The following is a 26,039-nucleotide window of genomic DNA, read 5'->3' on the forward strand; positions in this document are numbered from 1 at the left end:
AGCTTTTATTGTATTGAGGTCCTTCTCTTTCTTTAGCTCTAATATTTGCTTTATATATATGCAGACTCAAGTGTTGTGTGCATATATATTTACAATTGTTATATCTTCTTGCTGACTTGACTTTTTAAATTATATAATGACCTTTCTTGTCTCTTACAATATTTGTCTTGAAATGTATATTGCGTTATATAAGTATAGCAACTCATTAGATTTTCTGGTTTCCCTTGGCATTTAATATCTTTTTCCATTCCTTTATTTTCAGTCTATAAGTATCCTTAAAAGTGAAGTGTGTTTCTTATAAGCAACCGATCACTGAGTCATGTTTTTTTTAATACATTTTTAATATTCTATGTCTTTATATTGGAGAGTTTAGTCCATTTACATTCAATGTTACTATTGATACATTGGGACTTACTCCCTCCTGTCATTTAGTTATTTGTTTTATGGTTGTTTTTTGGTCTTCTCTTCCTTCCTTCTTTCCTTCCTCCCTATTGTCCTTTAGTAAAAGTGATTTTCTCTGCTGGTATACTTTAATCTCTTGTCTTTTATTTTTTCGGCTACCTGTTGTATTTTATAATGCACTATTTTAAACTGATTATAATTTAACATTGATTGCATAACAAACACACAAAAGAAAACTCATGAATACTCTACACTTTAACCTCTTCCCCCTGCTTTCATCTTTTTCTCATTTCTCTTTATGTCTTTTCATACTAAGTCTTATTTCTTTTCTCTTGCTGCTTTTGAGATGCTTTCCTTATCCTTGACCTTGGGAGTTTTGATTATTAAATGTCTTTAGGTAGTCATCTTTGGGTTAATGCTTGGTGTTTTATAACCTTTTTGTTTTTGCATATGCATTTTTTTCTCTAGGTTTTGGAATTTCTCTGTTATTATTCCTTTGAATAATTTTTCTGCCCCATGTCTCTTTCTCTACCTCATTTTTTAAGGCCAATAATCTTATATTTGCCTTTTTGAGGCTATTTTCTAGGTCTTGTAGGCCTTCTTTATTCATTTTTATTCATTTTTCTTCTGTCTCCTCTGACAGTGTGTTTTCAAATAGTCTGTCTTCAAGCTCACCAATACTTTCTTCCCTTTGACCAATTCTGCCATTAAGAGACTCAGGTGCATTCTTCAGTATGTCAATTGAATTTTTCAACTCTAGAATTTCTGCTTGATTCTTTTCAATTATCTAAATGTTTTTGTTAAATTTATCTCATCGAATTCTGAATGCCTTCTCTGTGTTATCTTGAATGTCTTTGAGTTTCCTCAAAACAGCTATTTTGAATTCTCTCTTTGAAAGGGCTCTATTATAAACAGATGGTGAAGCCAGCCATGTTTGTGTCCTTCCCTTCAGAGTAATGAGTTGCCCCACATCCCTAGAAGATCCAAACAGGCTGTCTGGGAGCCAGGGATTGGATTCCAAAACGTTATAAATTTACCTGATATTCTATTCTATTGTGGCTAAACTGTCACTGAAACCACAATACAAAGTCCTTCTCTCTCTTTCCTCCCCTTTCCACAGGCAGAGGCTCCTCTCTCTGTGGCCACCACTACATTCAATCCATGGTGGGTTCTGCCATGCCACTGCAAACATTCACTTAAAGCCCAAGTGCTCTTCACTCAGCTTATGGTGAATGCTGCCAGGCCTGGGACTCAGCCTTCAGGGCAGGGAAGGTCCAGAAATGCTGTCCAAGAGCCTAGGCCTGGATTTGGGGAAACTGAGAGACCATTTGTTGGTCTACCCCACTGTGGCCAAATTGGGACCTAAGGTGCTATACAAAAGTCCCCTTTACTTTTCCCTCTGCTTTTCTCAAACAGAAGAGGTATCTCCCTGTAGCCATAACAGCTAGGAATGTGCTGGGTCACACCAGAAGCCAGCACATCTTAGAGTCTAGGCTTATGGCATACTACCTGGGTATTGCTGCTGGCTTTTTAAAAAGGGCCCAAGGTCTTTTTATTCAGCAGGTGATTAACTCTGCCAGAACTTCATTCTTCCCTTCAGGGCAGTGGGTTCCCTTTTGGCCTAGTGTGTCTAGAAATGTTGTCTATGAGCTAGGGCTTGGAATGGGGTCCTCATGGCTCTGCCTAGTGCTATATCCTACTGTGGCTGAGCTGGTATCTAAGATGAAAGAAAAAGGCCTCTTTACTCTTCACTTTATTCTCCTTAAGCAGAAGGAAGGAGTCACTTTCATTTCTGTGAGCTGCATGGCCTGGGGTTGGGGGAGGGGTGGCATAAGCACTCCCTTAGCCACCCCAGCTGGTGTCTTCCTAGGACACATTCTACCCTAGTCCACTGGCTCTTAGTCCAGACCAGCACTAGGAGTTGCCTAGACTGTCCTTTCAAGTTTACCCAGGATCCCAGAGCACTTTGTCCTGTGGTGGCCAGGCTTGCCCAGAAACTCAAGTTCTGACTGCTGGGATGGGTATTTTCCCTCTAGCTGGGTCTGGTCCAAATGCTTCCTCCATGCGCGGGTGCTGGCTGAGCCCAGCACAACTTTGCTGTCTGCTGTGACAGGACAGCACTGAGTTCAATGTAAAGTCCCCTGTGTTCTCCCTCCCTCCCATGCACAGACTCTCTCCATGCTGCATGGCTGTTGCCAGCGGACAGGGAAGGGGTGGGATCCATGATTCTTGACTATCTCTCCTACCCTCTTCAATGCCTCTTTCAGTGATATAAAGTTACAACTAGGATACAGTGATTTCTCACTTTATTTTTGGGACTTGTGACCGTGCTTTTCTATATGCAGATTGTTATTAAAATTTGGTGTTCCTATGGAGGAGATGAACAGTGCTGTCATTTATTCCATCATCTTGCTCTCTCCTGTGTAACTTTTCTAGCATACAGATAGAATAATGTCACTCTACTGCTGAAAAACTATGTAACTGCACATAGCTTTAAGTTTTAATTTCTTAGCATGTTTACAGATAAAATGTGAAAAGACATTTTGATGTCATCATGAAAGTTTCATTCACAACAAAGTCTATGACTGTCAATCAATAGTTGCATTTTATTATTGGATATTTTGTTCATAGCTTCTTATGTGTCTAGTTTTCCTTACATGATTTCAGAATCTATTATTTTATATCTGTTCTCTAGTTGAATACGTGAATATTGGCATTGCTTTATATTTGCCTAGACATAGGTATTACAATAAAAATTCAGAAAAGCCTTTTTAAACAAAACCTCAATATAATTATTCAAACATTGTATTAAACTGAAATATGCCTGCTTTGGTTAAAATCCAGAATCATAGAAATACTAGTCAGTTACCATGACTTTGGCTTACATTTAGCTCTAAAATCAACTTTTATTGAAATACAGTGACTTTAATAAAAACAAAAATTGAGTGCAGTTTTGTGGCTGATCTCTTTCAAAGTGTAAGTAATTACCTTCAACGTGCTGAAACCAGATCACAGATTTGGGTATCCCCAAATTTAGGCTTTTTAGGAGTCTAATAGTGGTACTTATTACAAGACATGTATTCTTGAATTTCCCACTCTCTCTCCCAATGTCAGACACGTACCTAAAGCATCTGGTAAATATATACTGAATAATTTAATGCCTTACATTATATCCATATATAAAAATAGAGCCTTTGAGAATTTTAGACCCTGGCTAGAAAGTTCAGCCTAAAAAAAAGACTCTCAACCTTGACATAAGACCAGAATGAGTTGAAATTAGTTTAACTGGATTGGCTTTATATGATAAAAATTCAAAACGGGCAGCCAACTTAATGTTAGCTTATCTTGAACTCTATTCCAGTTAGTTACAGTAGAATCAAAGATATCTTTGTTGTGCGATGATTCTAACCTTAACTCATCACTACAGAAAAGACCATTCAAAATGGCACAGTGAAACTTCAGTGTGGACTTTAATCATTACATTACTATTACAATTTTGGTAATAGTATACAGGCATCTTGAGTGCCATATAGTAAACATATTGGAAGCACATTCAGTGCCTTACACCTATATTTTTAAGAGCAAAATGAACACATATGATACAGAATGAATAAATTGGAATCTTTGCAGGCTTTAGAAGATCAAATAATGGTTTAAATGCACAGATGACATGATACAGGCTCTAATAAGCTTCATTTTTTCTGTAGCCAATTCAGTAAAATATTACTACATTAATTCCTCTTACTCATAATCACGAAGTTGAATACAAATTGAGAATACACTATTGAAATAGTTCCCTCAAAACAGAATTCCTAAACCTTTAGATTTACCATTTTCCTCTTTCTCCATAATTTTTTTCATCTCTTTAAAGAATGAATTTCACAGCAAGCAAGCATGTTCTTTTATGAATTATTTATAAACTAATTAAAATAGCATAAATCACAAATTTCTGATGGATACAGATGGGACTCTAATGACAGTCCACCAGGAAGGACAGTTTTGACATGACCTTAAAGTGTACAGTAACTGCTATTTAGTAGAGCAGTTGAGAATTGTAATATTGTCTATTTTGTAGCTCAAATTGAACCAGCACCATGATGATTAGCATATGTTAAAGCCACCCCTATTTTATTCTCTTGCACAGCAGAGCAGCTGTGCCCAGAAACTGATTTCTCATTGGGCTTTTGAAAGCAAAAACTCACAACAATAAAGTCAAAGCAGGCGTACTATGAAAACTGTTTTACCCATTATTATAGGAGATACACACAGACACACACACACACACACACACACACACACACATATATGTCTACATCTATGTCTATATAGTTTTTGCTGGTTGATTTTTTTGTTAACAAATTACTCAGCCTACCAAAGTCGGCCTGTAGGATTGTTTTTTTGTGCTTGGGCAGAGGCAGAAATTACAAGTGTTACTAAGTACCAGTGCCAGCTATTTGAGACAAAATAAAAAGTCCTGTCCGTGTTGAGTATCGGAGAGGAAAAAAGAAATAAAATGTATGCATAACATTGTTGTTGAAAGAATAGTGGCAGAGTGAATAGTATAAGGAGTAACAGAAGGTCAAAGTGGGAAATGAGAGTCAACCAAGAAAGTACAGAAAGCCATAAATGACTTAGAAAGCCAAATGCAGAGGAGAAGGTCTTTCAGGCAACAGATAATGAACGGCCAGTGAAAGCATTGCCTATTATTACCAGGATTCAAAAACATTGTTGAAAATTTCTTTATATAACAAAGTACTTGAAAACCAAAATAAAATAGAGGCTAAACCCTGTAAACTTCTTACATATCTATTTTCAGACCCACCAGGATTGTACTAGTTTTCTAAGCCTAACTTAACTAATTACTATGAATTTGGGGACATAAAACAACAGAAATTTATTGTCTTACAGTTCAGCAGACCAGAAGTCCAAAATCAAGGTGTCAACAAGGTTGGTTGCCTCTGGAGCCTCTAAAGGAGAAGGCTTCCTTTTCTTCTCTCCTAAATTTTGATGGTTGCTGGCAATCCTGGGCATTCCTTGGCCTGTAGACAAAATCTCTGCATTCATTTTTGCATCACCTTTCTCTCTGGGACTGTGTGTCTTTTCTATCTCTTATAAGGATACTCTCATTGGATTTAGAGCCCAATCAAATCCAGTATAATCTCATTTATTGCTTATCTTAATTACATATGCAAAGACCCTATTTCTGGATAAGGTCAAATTCTTATGTTCTAGGTGGGAGAGAATTTTGCGACACTATTCAGCACACTCAGTATGATTTCTTTCAAAGTTTAGAAACAGATCATTCAGTTATTTGTTAAGCCTTCTTAAAGAAAAAAAAGGCTTTGCTTTCATATTTAACAATCAAGAGCTATATAATATAGACTTGAATTATTATTTTTAATCAAGTGATAGAATGGCTATACAACTACCTGTATCAATACTATAAAACATTCTATGTGGCTCAGTCTAGAAAAACTAAATATATTAATATCTACTGAATCTATTTTGTTTCCATTCTTGATGAAAATTGTTCACAGAATTCTGTCTGTATATGTGGGGAGGTTACCTTTTCTATTAGATAGAAGGATGTCAATAAAATTGGTAGCCTTTGCCTTGGTATGATGCCCAAAAGCCCTGCTTTAACAAGTTCTCCAAGTGATTCTGGTGCTCACTAAAGTTTGAGAAGCATTGATCTAGAGTAACAAGTGATTTCACTTGTGTTACTCATTTATTTCTTGAAACAAGCCAGTAATTCAGGCATTAATATATTTTCTTCCTTACAGATCTAGAATAGAAGGCTCAGAGGTGAATCGACTCAAGTTAGGCAATTCACTGAGTCGATGGCAGAGTTAGATGGAAAATTTGTTCATGTCATTTAATATACTATTTACTCAGTTTCATGAACTAAAAATATGATAAGAATATAGAAACAATAACATGTAGTCCACAAACTTTACATAACCTGGAATATTTCTCACCTGTTTTTTTTCTTTTTTTTCAATTTTCTTTGTTCTCACGCTGGATGCAACATGGAAAGCCAAAATCCGTTTTCAGACACCAACATTGTCAGCTGCCAGGGCATTCTGACTGCCTCGGTGCTGTGCCTGCTGCTCTGTGCTCCAGTGAGTGAAGGCATTTGGCCTGACCTCCACAGGTGTATCACTTTCCCTTCTACAGGGAAATTCTCAGTTAAAGAGAAATGGCAGGTAAATTTAGATTTGGATGTTCAGATTTATGGCTCCTCCATGACTATTTCTCTGTCCTGTAAAAATGAGTGCTTTACATTCACCGGTAAGCCACACATGGAGGAAAGTTATTCTTATCCTAAGTGTAGCAAACAAACATCAAAATAACAGTCAACTTTTCAAATATTGCTCATTGCTAATCAGCAGGAACTGTGAATTACAACTCACAGAGTAAACAGAATCTTAATTACTCCTTTCATCTTGCCTGCCAAGTGATGTCTCTCATCTAGAAAATGTAAAAAGAAATCATGAATTGAAAATAAGAGGACTAATGAATTGATCAGATTATATAGATCAGAAAACAGAATATGTAATTGTGTAAAGAGAACACTCAGATCTCTTCCAGGCCCATTTTTAACTCAATGTATGACTTTTTAATCAATTGGGTATTTTCATATTTGCCAATTTAAGGTAGTGGGATAAATGTTGTCTTTCTCCTGTATTAGGACTCATAATATAGGAATGAAACTTGAGCATTCTGTCAAAAATATTCAGCCAAAATGTTTATATTTTGAGAAAGATTCCAGGTTAAAGTTGTTTCACAGAAATGATCTGAAAATCACCATGTTGTTAAAGATATGTAAAGGGGCTATTTTACTATCCTGTTCAAGGGTGATAATCTGAACTGAACTGACAATGCTTAAAATAGTATTGCTCCTAAGACCGACTTCTCAAATCTAATAAGTTATGCAAAATCTGTACACTCTGAACAATGTAACCATTTATAAAGTCTTACTGTGGTGACTTTAACAATATTTAGTGATCATCAATAGTATACAAAGGTTCTGAGTGCAACCTTGACTTTTTTTCATAGTTGTTCAACTTCTTGGAGTAAGTGAGGTTTTATAATGCCACATTACAAAAACAATGCCAGCAAAGCAGATGTCCTGATAGAGGTGTTTCCTCAAGTTAACACCAAATGTTGCACATAGAACTTCTCAATGCATGCTGTCCTTGGTTAAAATAACATCTTCAAATTACAAGGCATAATTCAGCTTCTTAAATAAGAATTATGTATTTTTAACCTAAGTTTTGTTGCTTTCAAAAGAGTACTATAAAACTTATAATACTCTGACATTACAAGGATTTAAAATGATAACCTTAAAGACTTTGGAGTTTATCTCAGAATGACTATGCTATGCAAAGTATGATCTATTAGCCATATGTGGCTATTTAAAATACACTTTAGTAAATCTGTCTTAAAAAATTAAATATTCAGTTTCTCAGTTGCAATAGTCACATTTTAAGTCCTCAATAGCCACTTGTGCCTAGTGGCTACTGTAATGGATAGAATAGAAAACATTCCCATCACAAAAGAAAGTTCTACAGTGCTGGTAAAGGTTCTTGAAATTTGGAAGCAACTGCTTGATGTTGGGCAAAGGGATGCCATGAAATTTGTATTCAAGATAATTTGTTTGGGGTACAATGTGGAGAATGAATTTGTGGGCAGAGAAGACTAGAAGAGAGAATCCTAGGTGGTTCCTTGTATTAGGGTTATCTAGAGGGACAGAACCAACAGGATAGATGTATATATAAATGCATGTTTATTAAGAAGTATTGACTCACACGATCACATGGCCACAATAAGTCATCTGCAAGCCGAGGAGCAAGGAAGCTAGTCTGAGTCCCAAAACCTCAAAAGTAAGGAAGGCAACAGTGCGGCTTTCAGTCTGTGGTCGAAAGTCCAAGAGTATCAAAGCTGAAGGACTTAAAGTCCAAAGTTTGAGGGCAGGAAGCATCCAGCATGGGAGAAAGATGTAGGCAGGAAGACTAGGCCAATCTAGTCTTTCCAGATTCCTCCATCTGCCTTTATCCTAGCCATGCTGGCAGCTGATTAGATGGTGCCCACCCAGATTGAGGGTGGGTCTGCCTCTCCCAGTTCACTGACGGAAATATTAATCTCTTTTGGCAGCACCCTCACAGAGACACCCAGAAACAAGACAATTAACTCCCTAGATACCTTTGCTTTGTTGAAGTATATCAAAGAGTAAGAAAAATTTAAAACCCATAAATATTTTGAGTAAGAAATTATTTAATATGATTGAATAGAAACGGATATAATCAATGGTAAGGTGGAAGGGGAAAAGGGAGAGGAAAAGAGCTTTTGGGAAATCTGATAACACAGAGAGTTCAGAGATGCCACTACAGGGGTTCTACCTGCATGAAGCTCAGAGCAGACTATTTCCAACTCTTTTTGGTGCTGCTGAAAACCAACAATAATTTGAGTTACCTGATCACAGCAGCTGCTAGTAAGTAATGTTTTCTTCAGTTCCTGCCTGTATTAGTTGGCTTGGGCTGCTATAACATACCATAGACAAGGTGGCATAAAGACACATTTATTTCTCACAGTTGCAAAGGCTGGGAAGCCCAAGATCAAGGTGAAGTTTGATTCAGTTCCTTATGAGGACTTTCTCTCTGGTTTGCAGATGGCTGTCTTCTCACTGTGGAGAGAGAGAGAGAGAGAGAGAGAGAGAGAGAGATTCCTCTTTTTATTAGGCCATTAATCCCATCAGGAGCGCAGCACCTTCACTACTTCATCTGACCCTAATTACCTCTCAAAGTTAGGACTTCAAAATATGAATTTCAGGGGAACACAAAGTCACTCCATAACACTGTCTTTTCAATTTTGTATGAGTGTCCCTCACTGCTGGAATCTAACCAGAATCTTGTTGAGAAGGAAATCTGGAAAATTCCTTTATCAAGCATTCTACTCCTAAGGTATAGAGAAAAGCTTTCAAGGTCTGTGATGATACCGAGATTCAACTAATGATATATTTATGATATAGTTTGCTGCACTGAATAATTCAAATGCTTTCATCTTCTCTTATCCATATACAGTATCCAAAAAGCAGACCAGTAAGAATAACAATGGAAGGGTACCTGATGTTACCACTTGATCACATGTTGTACTAGAGATTTTTGCCATTTCAATAAGGCAAGATAAAAATATAGGGTATTCAAATTGCAAAGAATGAAATAACTACTTCTATTTGCAGACCCATGATAATCTCAGGAGAAAATCTTTAGGAATATACAAAACAACTTTTACAATTAATAAGCAAATATAACAAGGTCACAGAATATATATTAATCGAAAACACTAGTTGTATTATAATAATGTCATTCAAAATAGCATTTTAAAAACCATAAAATATTTAGAAATTAATTAAACAAAGCACATACCAGATCATGTTTTTGCTTTTTGTTTTGTTTTCCTGATGTTTTGTAAATAAAGTTTTATTAGAACACAACCACATACTTTTTTTTAAATTTAACTTTTATTTTAAATTCAGGGGGTACATGTGCAAGTTTGCTATATAGGTAAACCTGTGTCATGGGAGTTTGTTGGCCAGATCATTTCACCACCCAGGTATTAAGCCTAGTACCCATTAGTTATTTTACCTGATCCTTTCCCTCCTCCTGCCCTCCAACCTCCAGGAGGCCCTAGTATGTGTTGTTACTCTCTATATGTCCATGTGTTCTCATCATTTAGCTCCGACTTATAAGTGAGAGCATGTGGTGTTTGGTTTTCTGTCCCTGCATTAGTTAGCTAAGGATAATGGCCTTTAGCTCCATCTATGTCCCTGCAAAGGATGTGATCTTGTTCTGTTTCACAGCTGCATAGTATTCCATGATGTATATGTACCACATTTTCTTTATCCAGTCTATCATTGTGGGTATTTAGGCTGATTCCATGTCTTTGCTATTGTGAATATTGCTGCAATGAATGTATGTGTGCATGTGTCTTTATAGTAAAGCAATTTGTATTCCTCTGAGTATATACCCAATAATGGGATTGCTGGGTCAAGTGGTTTCTGTTTTGGGTTTTTGAGGAATTGCCACACTGTCTTCCACAATGGCTGAACTAATTTACACTCTCATCAACAGTGTATAAGTGTTCTTTTTTTTCTCTGCAGCCTTGTCAGCAACTACTATTTTTTGCTTTTTTAATAATAGCCATTCTGACTGGTGTGAGATGGTATTTCATTGTGGTTTTGATTTGCATTTCTCTAACCAGATCTTGTTCTTTTAAAACTGCAGAGTATTTCTGACAGAACATTTTTAAACAATACTTAAGGAAGATATACATTATATTTATGAATTAGAATAACTCAATATTATTAAGATGTTACATCTTTTCAAATTGATCTGGAAAGTCAAAGCAGCCATGATCAAAATTTGTTTGCATTAAAAAAATGAATCTAACAACTTGATTACAATTTATACAGAAATGTAAATGACCAAGGAGTGCAAAAGCAATTTTTGAAAGGAAGAGCAAAGTTACAGGACTTATATTTGAATTTTTGTTTGAATAATTATTTTAAAATTAATTAAGAGAGCATGGTAATGACAATGAGGTAGACATACATCACTGAAACAGAATAAACAATCCAGGTATAGATACACACACACCTAGACAAATGTTGACAAAGGTTCCAAAGCAATTCAGTGTGGAAAAGAGAGATTTTTTTTTCTAAAAGCATTGCTAGAAAAACTAAATATGCATATGGAAATAAACATGAAAATAAAATTATCCCTCACTCCATACACAGAATATAATTTAAAATGGATCAAATATCTTAAGTAAAAAGGTAAAACTATTATGCTTCTAAAAGAAAACATTGAAAAATATCTTGGAAAGCTTGGAACGGGCAAATATTTTGAGTCCTTAGGAAATAAGCACTAATCATAACAAAATTGGTGAACTGGACTTAATAAAAGTTTAAAATATTTGTTGCTCAGAAGACATATTAAGAAACAATGAAAGGCACAGAAGATGAGAAAATATTCAAAATACACATATCTAACAAAGGGCATATACCTTAAGTATATAAAGAACACTAACAATAATAAGAGCATAAACACCCCAACACTAAAGTAGGCATAAAATTTTAACAAATAAGTAACTATAAAAATATATAGGAGTGGCTAATTGTATATGAAACAAAAAATTTTCTGCCATTAGGAGAATATGAATTAAAACCATGAAACCACAATGACATACCACTTAACAGCTATTAAAATTTTTAAAAAATGATGAAAGAAAAGAAATTAAAAACACTTGACTATACCAAGTGTTGATGATGTTGTATAACAATCGTAACTCACAATGCTTGTGGGAACGTGAAATGGTACAATCATTTTGGAAACTTGGTTAACAGTTTCCTCAAAAGTTCAACCTAAACCCACCGTAGGATGGAGACATTTTATTCCTGGATACTAAACAAACACATATTGCTGCGTAACAAATTATGCAAAAAGTTGATGGTAGCTTTATTCATGGTAGCAAAACAGTGGGAAATGAGCCAAATGCCCATCAACAGATAAATTGATGAACAAATTGTGGTATACTCAGAAGATGGAATTTTACTCAGAAATAAAAACGACTAACTACTGACACACAGAGTAACATGGTTAACTCTCAAAATTATTGTGTTGAGTAAAAGAAACTAGACACACAAAATACATATTAAATGGTTACATTTATAGAAGTTTCTAGAAAATGCAAATTAAAGTATACCAGCAAAAAGCAGATAAATGGTTGTCTGGCAGTGGAAAGAGGGAGGAATAGACTACAAATGGGCATGAGAAGTATTTTGGTTGTAATTTTTAAAAACGTTTTGGCTACAGGGTATGTAATTACAGTTTCATGGGTATATACAACTGTGAAAATAGATCAAATTCTACATTTTAAATGGATGCTGTTTGATTTATATATACTGTTCCTCACTTAAGTTAAAGAAAAAGCCATATTTTATCTCAGCCTAACATAATGCTACTGTTCCTTGAAAAAAAATGCGTTTTCTCACATAAAAGGCAAGCACAGTCTTCTGTAAGTCATTCTAGAAGTCTCTGTGTGATATTCATTACTTCACTAGATTAATCACAATTCTGCTTAAAATCCTTAGCTTAAAAACTGAATTAGGGGCTTAACCAACACTAGAATATCTTACATAAAATACAGGTGACCCTTGAACAACATAGGTTTAAACTGTGTAGGTCCACTTATATTTTATTTTGCCTCTGCCGCCCCTGAGGTGTCAACACCAACCCGTCCTCTTCCTTCCCTTCTTCAGCCTACTCAGTGTGAAGGTAACAAGTGTGAAGCTCTTTATGATGATTCACTTCCACTTAATGAATAATAAATATATTTTTCTTTATAATTGTCTTAACAACATTTTTCCCTAGCTTACTTTATTGTAAGAATACAGTATATAATATCTATAAAATGCAAAATATGTGTTAATTGACTGTTTATGTTAACAGTAAGGCTTCTGGTCAACAGTAGGCTTTGAAAAGTTAAATGTTATACAGAAATTTCGACTGCACAGGAGGTCTGGCACACCTACCCACTGTGTTGTTCAAGGGTCAATTGTAACAGGGAAAGAAGATGAGAAGGGAATTGGTTGGTACATTCAATAATAACCAAGCAAGGAAGAAAACTGCCTACCTTCCACAGTAGTCATGTCTGCATTTGGATATATGGCCATAGTTGATATTTAACTGTGTGTGTGTGTGTGTGTGTGTGTGTGTGTGTGTGTGTGTGTGTGTGTGTGTATTTTTCCTTTTACTATCCAAACCCAATATTCCCTTTGCTTTCAATTAGCTATCAGGCTGGTTGAAGTCTTTTCTTAGGGGAGATAGTCTAACTTTCATTCTGGAAAGGTCTGAAGGTCTGAGCCATTAGTAGTCCTGCTTTATCAGGCTGTTATAATATTAAAAAAATTATCTGGCAGGCCATTAGGTTGAGATAGCCCCAATACATTGGGTCCCAACATAAGCAAAACAAAACCTAACTCAGAGTGAATGTGTTTAGCCAAGAAAAACAAAACTTAAGCTTTACCAGCCAGAAACTGCCAACTAGCCTCTAACTAGGGAATTTCCTTTTTAACTAATCAAATAAATATTTTCTTTGTCTTGCTTCCTCCAACACCTTATAAAAGTTTTCCTCTCCTGCCTTTTCTGCGGAGCGCTGAACTCCCTGCAGTCTGGTCCTGCCCTATTTGTAAATGGCTGAATGTTGAAATTAACGTGTTAAGTTCTAATGTGCCTAAATTCATCTTTTAACAGTAGGATATCTTTACAATTTACCCCGGAATAGCAGAGTTTTAAGGAGGTGCTCTAAGAATCCTCTAGGCTTACACAGAATCCTCTCTGGTCTGAAGGTTAAAAATGCTGTCTTCATACTCAGGATCAATCGGCCCAGGCAATAAAGTTATTCCCTTATTTGCCCATTGCTTAAATGGTAAAATAAACTCAAAGAGGTCAGGTGGCAGCATCAGCTTACAGTGCATGGATCATTCTTCTAATAAGAATTAATACCTATAAACCAGAAAGCCCACATCGTATGATAAGCCAAAATACAAAGGAAAGAAGTGAAGAAATCACCAAAATAATTCAAATAATTCAAAGATTTGACAAAAGTGGAGGCGATAACTAAGGACTTTAAGGAGACATGCAGAAGATTGGAAGAAAACCAAGAGCATTTGGAGTTATAAAAGCCCATAAACAAGTGTTTCAAGAATAAATAAGAGTCAAATGTGTTGAATGGTGCTTAGAGATCTGTTCAGTTAGGAAGAGAGAATTGAAAATTGCATTCGACAAGAAAAAGACCCTCGGTGATTTGATGTGTGTAAAGTGAGTAAGTGGTATGAACAAATCAGACTAAAAGTAAGTTGAAAGCCTAAAGGAGGTGGGGATGTGGAGAAAGCAAGGGCTGTTTTTGTTTTTGATTTTGTTTTAGAAAACAATGTGGAAAAAAAATCAAGGGATTAGAGAAATAGTTGGAGAGGGACAGAAAGAAGGGATTTTAATGGTAGGTAAATTTTTCTTTACAGCAGATTATGATATACTAGAGAGGAAAAAACAGATGATTCGGATACAACAGAAATAAAACTCTTGCCAAATGAAATTTGACTCCAAGCCGCTACATATACAGGCATGTAGAACTTTAACTTCAGTCATCACTTATACCGCCTGTCTCCTCCTTTCCACTATTGTGAACATTGGTGATCAGATGGCCCTGCCAAAGAAACATTGTTTTGGTTCACATGGCCCCATCAAGTCCACCAGCTCCATTGCTTCCATGTAATAATTGAGGCATAAATTAGTTTGGTGTTGCTGGGAGTCTTAAGGCCTAGACTTCCTCCCCAGTCTCTCATTTTCAAGATATCCTATAGCCACTCTGCAGGAGTATTTTTAACCTGATGTGAATTTCTCTTTCTTAGTATTTATTTTGCAGTCCTTTCTCTGTTCCTCAAAATCTATCTTCCTAGGTATTCATAACACAAATCAAATCATAATCTCTTCAATGATTTCATTTATTATTTATTTATTTATTTTGAAATAAGAGTCTTGCTCTGTCACCCAGGCTGGAGTGCAGTGGTGCGATCTCGGCTCACTGCAACCTCAACCCCCTGGGTTCAAGTGATTTTCCTGCCTCAGCCTCCCAAGTAGCTGGGATTATAGGCGCCTACCAACATGCCCGGCTAATTTTTGTATTTTTAGTAGAGATGGGTTTCACCATGTTGGGCAGGCTGGTCCCGAACTCCTGACCTCAGATGATCCAACTGCCTCAGTCTCCCAAAGTGCTGGGATTACAGGCATGAGCTACCTCGCTGACCTCTTCAATTATTTTAAACATGTGTAAACAAAAGCCAGAAAAGAAAGTGCCTACAGGCACCTCTGCCTTCTGCCAAGACACAAACCTTCTCTAAGGCAAGAAAGCACAAACGAGACACTTGCCTAAATACAGTATGAAAGAGAGAAACAAAAATATTAGGTTGGTGCAAAAGTAATTGTGGTTTTTGCCATTACTTTTGCACCAACCTAATATGTAGAGGAAAACAAAAGAAACTAATTCACTCACATTTGACAGTGTGATTTGGTGAAGATATATACACACCCAAAGACACATACACACACATATATAATTTCAAGGAGCAATAGATAAAGCTTCAGGTCCACAAGCCAGGCAGCCTTCAGTCTGCCCTTGAAGTTATTTTACCTATTCCCCTTCTGTCTTTTGCAGATGCTTCTTTTTCACTAAGGAACCTATTGATTCTCTGAGCCTCTTCACAAATCATCTTCACAATAGCTCTCTTGTTAATAAACATTTGAGAAACATTCCCCGGAACCAGGGAAAGAACAGTTTGAATGGTTTAAATGGTTATTTTTATTGAGGTATATAATGTGAAAATCTAAAGAAAATTAAGTGGTATCTGATAACAACTGGTAAGATACACTAAAGAAAAAAAAATCTTTGACAAATTAAAGTCCAATCAAAAATGTTTCACCATGCATCATTTGATCGTTAAGTCCATATGCTGTACAAGGAAAGCACTGTGCTAGAAGCTGATAGTCTAGTTAGCCTTGAGCTACATAACCCTTGTTATTAAAGAATGCAGTTACTAGCTGCCCCACTTCATACCCAGACCCCCTAGTCGTGCAAATCTTCTTGCATACCAGTTTGTGGAGCTTTGATTTGCTATCTTACTCTCAAACCTTTAAAGTTGACTTTACTAAACAGGGTTATTTAATTAAATTGAACTAATAATGTAATTAAATGCTATTAATCCATACTTGCATTCTGTAGTGATTTTATTACAGAGGATTGTTTTCTAAATACAAAAATCACTAAATTTATGTAAGTAATTCAAATAAACCACCAATCTTTTTCTGCTTTGGATCTATGCTTGTATTTGATTTCAATTCTAGACCTTTACTTTCCCAATAATTAAGATAAATTTTGGGCACTTCAATTTTGCCTAATTTCTCATAGTACTGAATAAAATGGAGGATGACAGTAACGGTGGTAAACCTTCAGGTCACCCATCAACTTCTCTTCCTGTCTTAGGTGATGCTGGAGTTTAAACATTAGGTTTCTTCGTTTCTTCCATGTTGTCTTTTCTCAAAATCATAGCCTTTTTTTTCATATCTACTTTTCTTTTGCAGTAAAGCACCTATTCAGCACAGAAGAACAAAGCAACTTTCATAAGTATATCTAACAATTCCTGATTACTGATTTTGAATGCAGCTGTGTGACAGAAGATTTAGATATATACAGAAGCATTTATGCATATTAGATTGAGAACTTTTTCTTCAGAAGGAAAACAATGAGATAAAGATATGAAAAAATATATTTGTATGCCAGTGTTCCCATGGTACATCTTGTTTTAATCATGAAAATACTTCTTACTAGCAAATAATCCAGTTAGGAAGGTCAATGGCCACTACTCCCAACAAAGTACCTTTTGAATACAAAACATAATGCATGTTCACTATCTGAGTAGAGGTAGCAATAACTGGACCGCCTCGTAATTGTCATTAAAGACTATTATTGAGCAATATCTGTCACAGAAATACTCTGCTTCTCATAAATAATTTGACTATCTGGGCCAAAATCAAAAAGGTCTTAAGTCAGTGCTTAACCAACTGCATTCCCAATTACATTCTTTCACTGTTTTTACATATAATAAAGGTAGGTGGGCTATATATCTCACAGTGTCCTTGTGCTCACCTATCCCTCAGACACCACACCAAGTGTTTCCTTGCAGGCAATACATTTCATAATAAAAGTTTTAAGGAAAGGGGTGGAAGCAAGAATATTTTGGATGGTAAATTTTATTAGTTTTTAAATTTTATTAATATCAAAAACAGCCTATTTGAACATTCAGTGTAATAGTTGTCATAACTGAATCTCCTGTGATATAATTTAAATCGGAAATACAAGAGAATGTGAACTTCATAGAAAGAAGCTATGTGTGCTTCATAGCTTTCTAGTTACTATGGGGCTTTAAACCTGGACATCGGCTCTCTGAGCTCCTAGAAATTAAAAACTCGTGTTAGGAACTGAGAAGAACCCGAAGGTTTAAGGAATTCCAGATTATTTCTTTGGGCAGTTGCAAAAATTTGGCTGATTCCATTCAATTTTATAAGGGCAGAATCAGAAAAGAAAGAAAAAAGAGTAAACTAGATTAATCGATAACCTTCAAAGTTCTAGATTCTGACAAATACTAAATCTTTTAATTTAAAAAACCCTACCCTATAGACTAATATTTTACATATGAAATTTTAACATGAATTCTAGCAGACACTGTGTATGCCCTGTCCATATTCTCCTGTCCTTACCACTTCAGTGCCCGCCAACCTAACTTCTAACTCCCAGCTCTGGATTTCCTCTTGATGCTGGACACTGCTTTGCTACATTCTCAGGACACCAGTCATAATATCTCTAGTTGTTTTAAACTTTGGTCACTACAATTCAGAAAGGCAATTGTCTACAAACATCTCTGCCTTCTGCAGAAGAAATCTTCCCTAAGATAAGAAAGCAAATACTGCTTTATTTCCCTACCACCAAGAACCTTCAGCCAATGACTAAAGAAATTTGATATATATATATGTATATATATTTATATATATATGTATATATATTCTTCAGTTTCCTCATATTTCAGGTGAGATAAATCTTAGCCATGTGTTGTATGCTTTACTCCATGAAGTTTGCCAGTAGGATTAAGTTCCAGGAACCCACAGCGGTAGCTGGCTTGGCAGGACACCCTTTCCTGTCTGCCTTTACTTCCTCGTCTAATTTTTTATTCCCCTATTGGAATTTTCTGTCATCTCTCAAGTAAACCTCTTTTACTTAAATTTTTACTTCTGGAAATGCTCAAACAAAAACACTAATTTTGTTTCCTAAAAATTTATTTTGATCCAAGCAGTTTTTGCACCAATGCTACATAAGGGCAAACTTAAGTATAATTACTCCATTCCTTTCCACAACAACTAAAGGAAGGAGAAGGAGAAGAGTAGGTGAAGACTGAAAACAAAAATATTTTTTCCTCATTCTCAGACCAAATAAATTACCCTGTCTGTCAAATTCAAGCAGGTGATATGTCAGACCAAAATATCCCATTAAACTCCTTCATTTCACATGATGTGGAATATTTTAATTCTTAAACTGAGATGGTCTTAAAATTATTTTTATTTATAACCTATCAACTGATAGGAACCTCGACTGTCAATCTGAGATATCAGATAATTTACCTAGAATAGGAGTGTGTTCTTTTTATTTTATGTATGATACCTCTATACCTTTTCTGTTGAAGGGGTTCAGAACACATCACCTCAAAACATGCTGCTTTGGCATGTGGATTGTTTTGAGCTGAAGGCACTGAGATACAGCCAGATTCAGGAAGGGCTCCCTGACCTTCCCCCTTCTACCTAAAAGCAGGCCATAAAATTTCCCTGTACCAGGAAAAGGATAACATTGTTATCTCTAGACACTGTAATATGATGCCAAAATGGACTTCTGCAAACAAACCTGTTAAAATAACAATCTTCCATTAGTTCCTCCTCATCCTCATTATATTTCCTAGTCACTAGCCCACAATTTACTGCTGCTGGCCCAAGCCCCTTTATCTTATCATATCCCCACAATTTATCATTCTTTATGTAAAAAACAAAATGTAAGCTTTCAGGCATAATGGTTTCTTCTGGTCTTCACTTTCTTTCTGTTGCAGGGTGAACCCCAAAACCGGGACTCAACTCAGGAGGCTAAGTAGGTTCTTGGCTTTGCGGTAGAAATAATTCAATAAAGAGTTGACAGAGTAAAGTGAAGGCAAGTTTATTAAAATAAAGGAATAAAGGGTGGCTAATCCGTAGGTGGCTATATATATATATATATATATATATATTTTTTTTTTTTGATATGCCAAATAAGTGGTGAATTATGCATGAGTTTTTTGGGAAAGAGGTGGGGAGTTCCTAGAACCAGGTATTTTCCCCCGTCCAAACTATACAGGTTAACTTCTGGGCACTGCCATGGCATTTATAAACTGTCTTGGTGCTGATGGGGGTGTTCTTTAGCATGTTAATGCATTATAATTAGCATATAATGAGCAGTGAAAGTAACCAGAGGTAGCTTCCTTCATTATCTTGGTTTTAGTTGGTTTTGGTCAGTTTCTTTACTGTCTCCTGTCTCCTGTGGGGTCTTATAACCTGTTACTGGAAACTAACTAGTCCTGCCACATTCCTATCTCACTTCTATAGACTCTTATGTACATGTAAAAATGTTAAATCAATTTGTATCCTTTTCTCCTGTTAATCTGTTTTATGTAAGTTTAATTCTTAGTCCAGTCACTGAACATGAGGGTTGAAGAACATCTTTTCCCCTACACTGTGCTCTAGGCTCCAGGTCTTAACAAAGAGTATTTAATTAGTGTTATATGTAACTTTCTTAGGGGAACTGTATTCACATACAATTATTCTTATAATTTTAGTTCTTGGCTAAAATCTTTTTTTCTTTTTTCTTTTTTTTTTTGTTTTTTTTGTTTTTTTTTTTTGGTCATCAGCCTTGGCTCTTTACACGTTAGCCTATATTTGCAAATATGGCTTAGGAACTACTACACTGCTCTTGCTTTCTATGTGCAAACACACATACACACACACTTTACACAAATCCACACAAAAATATGTTAACTTTTATAAACAGCCTAAGCTATTGATGCTCTTTATTCTGCACAAAAGACAATGGCACTGCGTTTTTACCTGTGGAGGCATCTCACTTCTGGGCTGCACTTTATACCACATTCATTCAGAAACAGAAAGCAATCATGGTTAAAAGCTCAAGCTCAATGTTGAGATAAAACTAGTTCTCATCTTGGTTCTGTCTCGTATTAGGTGTGTATCTAAGGCAAATTACTTTATATGTTTGTTCTTAGGTTCCTTCATCAGCAAAACAAAGGTATTCATTTTGGTGCAACAAGAATTAAATTAAACACTGCTGTATAACACTTAGCACAGTGGCCGGGTTTAGCAGTATCCAATAAGGGTGAGTTGTCAGTAATAATAATAATGGTAATAAAATGATAATGATAAGCATTTCCTACTTCAGAGTTAAAGCAGATGTGATGACCAAATGCATCTGCTTCACTGTTAGAATCCCAAGATGGCAAAAAAATACAATACTTTTTCAAAATCTTTATTTAATATTGAGATACACAATAATCTGCAAGAAGAAAAAAAAATCTAATGTTTAAAATATTTACTTTCCCTGGCCTCATCTATATGAATAGGTTGTATAGTAATTAATTCAGCCAAGCTTTCCATTAGCTTCTATGAAGATCCCAAATAAAGCAGTTTTCCTCAAGTTTGAATGGCCTTGAATACGTTTACTAATTTAAGGATGAGCAGCAAATGCTCCAAACAATAGACTCTTTTTCATTATTTTGATAACAAAGCCCATCTACAAAAGCCTCCTACAAAAGCCTCCTTCTTCTTCTTCAGCAAACATCAACACTGGAAAGCATTTTTTAATATTAATTTGATGGTTTCTAGACACAGTGAGCACAGAAAATAAAAATCATTTTAATTATTTCTACCCTCAATGCCCAAACACAATAAAGATGTAGCGGCAGAGGGAATCAAGCACCAGAAAAATGATTACGTGAAGACAACAATGACTTTTATTTGCTTATTCCCAAATCATCTGTATTGAGCAAGAAACTCAATAGCACAAAGCATTCAGCAGAAACTTTACAAAAGACTCGTGTACAGGGGATTGTTGGCCTCATTAATAAGTGACAACAGACAAACATTTATGTTGTAGCTACCTTTCTGAGACTTACCTTGTTCTCAAGATATGTGTGTTGAATGATTTGTACTATATGAATTTACTCATATGTCAAGGTACTCAACGTGTAGTCCATTATGTTTATAGTAAACCAGCAGTGCTGATCGCTTAAACATTTGCCAGCATTCTTTAAAACTTAAGCTCTTCTAATATTTTGGTTTTCAATGATATGTGAATTCAGTGTCTCCTACTGCCCCACCCTGTAAAGGGAGAAAAGAACATGTTCATTTAAGTATACTACATGAACGAGGAAGTATAGTGTGGAATTTTGAGTTACAAAAGTGATAAATCGGTTAAATTATTGTTTGATGTCAAGAAGAGTATATATTATTCAGCTTATTTGCATGGGTTTCTTTACTCTTGAAAAATAAAAGTTGTCATTTAATTTATAATTTATGGACAAAGATATCCATGTCAGTTGTTCCAACTTCTTCATCTTACTCTTCACTGTTTTCTCCCACTGTTCCACTGAAACTTCTTGTAATAATACTACCAATTGATACCAATAAATAAGAAACCAATGCCTGATTTTAATTATAGTAGGAAAATTTCCATGTTTTGTTTTGTTTTAGACGGAGTCTCGCTCTGTTGCCAGCCTGGGGTGCAGCGGCACAATCTCGGCTCACTGCAACCTCCACGTCCAAGGTACAAGTGATTCTCCTGCCTCAGCCTCCCAAGTAGCTGGGACTACAGGCATGCGCCACCACACCCAGCTAATTTTTGTATTTTCAGTAGAGATGGGGTTTCACCATGTTGGCCAGGATGGTCTCGATCTCTTGACCTTGTGATCCACCTCCCTCGGCCTCCCAAAGTGCTGGGATTACAGGCATGAGCCACCACACCCGGCCAGAAAATTTCAGTTTTTAAATTTGACCTCCATGCAGCATACAGTATTAACTCATCAGCCATTTTTTTCTTGCGATTATCTTGTACCTGTGTTTGTGATCTGGTTTTCTTCACATTTTCTTTACCTTTACACTATGTCATGTTTATTTCTGGTCTTGTCTTCTATTGTCCAGTTAAATCAATGGATCACAAGCTTTACTCTACCTTGACTCACCAGAGATGCCCCTTAAAAACAAAACAAAACAAAAAAACAGCAGATTCCTGAGCCCTGTCACTAAAATAGATCAAAGAGATGGCACGTTAACCTGAGTCTTCATAAAATAGCTTAGATGATTCTGATGCATATGGTCCTTGGACTATATTGCTTCCATTGTTAAGATTATCTACCATCTAACAGTTCTATTATTTTACTTAACTGTATTGCCTAGTATCTGCTCCCAGATACTTACCATATTTTTGTGCCTCTCAGTTCTACTATATCCACACAAGACCTGTTTTCTAAATTTCAGACTCAGATTTCCTACTCTTAATAGACATCTTCATGTGACTACCCCACAGGTACCTCAACTAAACATGTCCAAAAGTGAGCACATCTTTTATTTAGTTCTCAAATTTACTTATCTTTCTGTTACACTCACTTTCTATTGGCTAAACCATCATTCATTAGTCATTTGAGCCAAAATTCTTGACAATAATACCAGCCTCTTTGGTGTCTTTTCAACCTTCATGTTCCACCATCTTCAATACTCACTAGTTACCTAGTCATTTATAAAAGTCCTTATTCAGAGAAAGAAGAAAAAATCAAAACAAAATTCCATAATGTCCCATCTTATCTCAACACTGGATTAAAGTTCTGAATTTATTTTTATTTGAAAGATGCAGTTTGTGGGAAAGTTTGTTCCATTCATTCAACCATTAGACTGTTCTATTATTCATCCTTAAACCAAATCAATATTTTAATTAACAGAGTGGTTTCTGAAGTTCTTAAAATGATAGTATTTATTTTTTGATATTCTTTAGTCAGGTGAAATAATGTCTAAGGAAGGCTTAATTATGTCTCTTTCTTTGGAAGAAAAAAGAGAAGAAAGTATTTTTGGCATTGTTATTTTATTAGAGGAAAGTTTTTAAAATAATTGATTTATATTCATAGAAATAATTATTTGTCTAACTAATTTTCCTTACACCTGCAAATGTAAAATTATTTCCTGTAATGTGCACAAATATAATTTTTCTGGGCTAATATTTTAATTTTTTCATGAAATGTATTAGAAATTTGAAGAAACATGAAATATTTTCTCTACTTTTCAGAGAATCTATTATATGACCAGGTGCATTAAAAACGCAGTTAATTTTTACAATAAATATTTAACAACTGATACGTTAAATGATAAATCTTTTCTACATCTCAATACCTGAATTGTAATGGTGCAGAAACATTCAGTATAGAAATAATCACATAGACCATATCTAATATTCTTACTAATTTTTCTGTCAATGCTGCCAGAAAATTGCTTTCTACTCCTTTTTTCTGAAGTACTGATAATTTCCTGATGTTACGTTAAACAATGGCTTACAACGAAAATTATGTATTTAGGAGTAATTAAAAAAAATTTCTTTATAAAGTGTATATATTTTTTTCATTTGAAAATGTATAATCATGGCCAAGGGCATGTATCTTTTATATGCAACTATATATTTTATGCCTTTATCAAGTATATAATTTATGAAAGCATTTTCTAATGCTTATTAAAATTACCTTATACGTTATCCCAGTGCCAAGAAAAATAAAATGATAATGGGATCATTGCAGTGTAAATGGAGTAGCTGCCATGCCATCTGCTGCACATGTCCAGAATGAGTATAAAACTGGCCTGGTGCCACCCTCTTGGGTCCCAAGGCTACGTCCACTTACTTGCCAGAAAAAAAGAATTGATTTATGTTAGATATGGTTTTAATTTTGCTGCTATTAGGAACTTGTATTAACCATTACTATATTTCATTATCTGAACTATTTCATTTTAGTTTGATTTGGGGATGAAATGAAAATAAATATTTATATCTCAGTTTTAAGGCCACCTTTAAGGCACTAAACAGAACTGCATGTTTGCCTTGAATAAAAAAAACATTTTTGGTCACACTCTTATTATCTACAAATATTAAATTTGGTCATTTCAACTGGCATTTTTTCCTATGTCCTTTGTTGATGTTGTCACCACTTCTTTTCCAGTTACAAACATGGCCCTTGTTTTTAGTACTGATATGCTTACGACCTAACATTAGCCTTAACCAGTATCTTTGCCTGACGAACTAAGTCTGCACTTACTCCATACTCACTTCGTAGAACAACACTAATTTCTGACATTTTTTTGTTGTGCGTATCTCAAACTGAAGATCTGCAGATACATTCTGCAGGTCTCATAAAATATTATGTACATGTGTGTATAATTTTGCGATTTTATTCAAATATATTTTTTAAAGTTTGTTTTTAATTGGCATATTACAATTGTACATATTAATCGCGTATAATGTGATGTTTCCATACATTTTTACGTTATGTAAAAAATCAGATTAAAAAAATTACACACTATAGTTATTAGATTTCAGTGGCAGCATTTGCCTTTGTGTATATAATTATATAATTCCAACATCAACAAATGAAACCAAATGATGTTTGGCACAATGTATCAATAAATGATTCATATTAGTTTGAATCTAGAAAAAAAAGCGGAAAACAAATATAATGTGGCACACGGTAATATAGTTATGTTGAATTCAAAAGAATGTTCTAAGTATCAGTGTTTCAGCTGTGATCCTTCATGCTAGATAAAAATCTCAATTCAAAAACTAAGAAAACCAAATTAAAAAAACCTATAAAAAATGCAAATTCTTCCTTTTAATACATCCAGTATTGGTGATATAATTTCAGTAAAACAAACATTATCATTTGTCAAAGTCGAATATTTTCAATTTGTTTTTTTCTCACTTTTTAATGGTTTATTCATTGAGTAAAATGATATGTTACAATAAATTATGCAACATCAGCCATCATGTTTAACATTCAGCTGGTTTTAATAGCTTCTCTCAGGAGTTATTTTATCTGATTATATTTATAAGGTAAAATCTTATCACATTTCTCATATATACACACTGTGCCAGCGGATTCACACTACTGATATATGAATAAAATCAGCTTGGGATGTGCACTGGAGACAAATCAGTGAACACCTGTCAAAGATTATTTTAATAAAGGATGGTAAAAGCATTTGTAAAATGCATAGAATCTTTTTCCATAAATAGATTGATATCTAAACATCTGTTGCATAAATTATGCTTCCAAAGTTTACAGTGGAACCCATGTTGGCTTATTTACTTTATTATTGCAGACTGTCCTTTAACGTAAAATGCACACCATTCATTTCCCTTACAACTGGGGTTAGGTGGAAGTCTCACAGAGATGGTGTGTGCACTGTGGTTGGCCTGAAACAGTTAAATCAGCTTGTAAAGACACTTCAGTGATAACAAGGTTTTAAAACATACTTCATGGAATCGGCTTCATGTATCATAGCATCTCATACCTGTGATAGAACAAGCTTTTAGTTTTTCCTTTGTTTTCTTTACATTCTTTATTCTCAGTGAAACAGGTTCACGGTATTATTTCTTTTTTTTCTTTTTCTTTGATTTTTGTTTCTCTCAGAGTTTTGAAGTTGCTGACTGATCCACAGAATAGTTTTGTACCATAGGTTGAAATTTGACCTCAAATATTACAATCTAGCAATATCTGCCTGGTCAGAGTGGGCCAGCCCTTGCCAGCGTGTGTGCACTTCTACTATTTCAGTCTATTCTTTGGCACCTGATAAGTGTGCTGAAAGAGAGAAACCCAGAGACTTGTTGCTAAGGATTTCACAACTAATGTT

At 35.2% G+C, this 26,039-nt stretch overlaps 1 long non-coding RNA gene across 1 annotated transcript in view; it reads right to left on the reverse strand.

Annotated features, from left to right (window-relative positions):
* Positions 1 to 8,967: 8,967 nt before the first annotated feature.
* The window catches only part of LINC02713 (long intergenic non-protein coding RNA 2713), a 78,303-nt gene continuing 61,231 nt past the window's right edge, over positions 8,968 to 26,039 (reverse strand). The window contains exons 5-6 of the long non-coding RNA NR_183633.1: positions 21,275 to 21,479; positions 8,968 to 9,088 (exon numbers count right to left, since the gene is read on the reverse strand). This is a non-coding gene — a long non-coding RNA (long intergenic non-protein coding RNA 2713). The remainder of the gene's footprint in view (positions 9,089 to 21,274; positions 21,480 to 26,039) is intronic.

This window comes from Homo sapiens, chromosome 11 (genome assembly GCF_000001405.40).
Source record: "Homo sapiens chromosome 11, GRCh38.p14 Primary Assembly".
Classification (NCBI taxonomy): domain Eukaryota; kingdom Metazoa; phylum Chordata; class Mammalia; order Primates; family Hominidae; genus Homo; species Homo sapiens.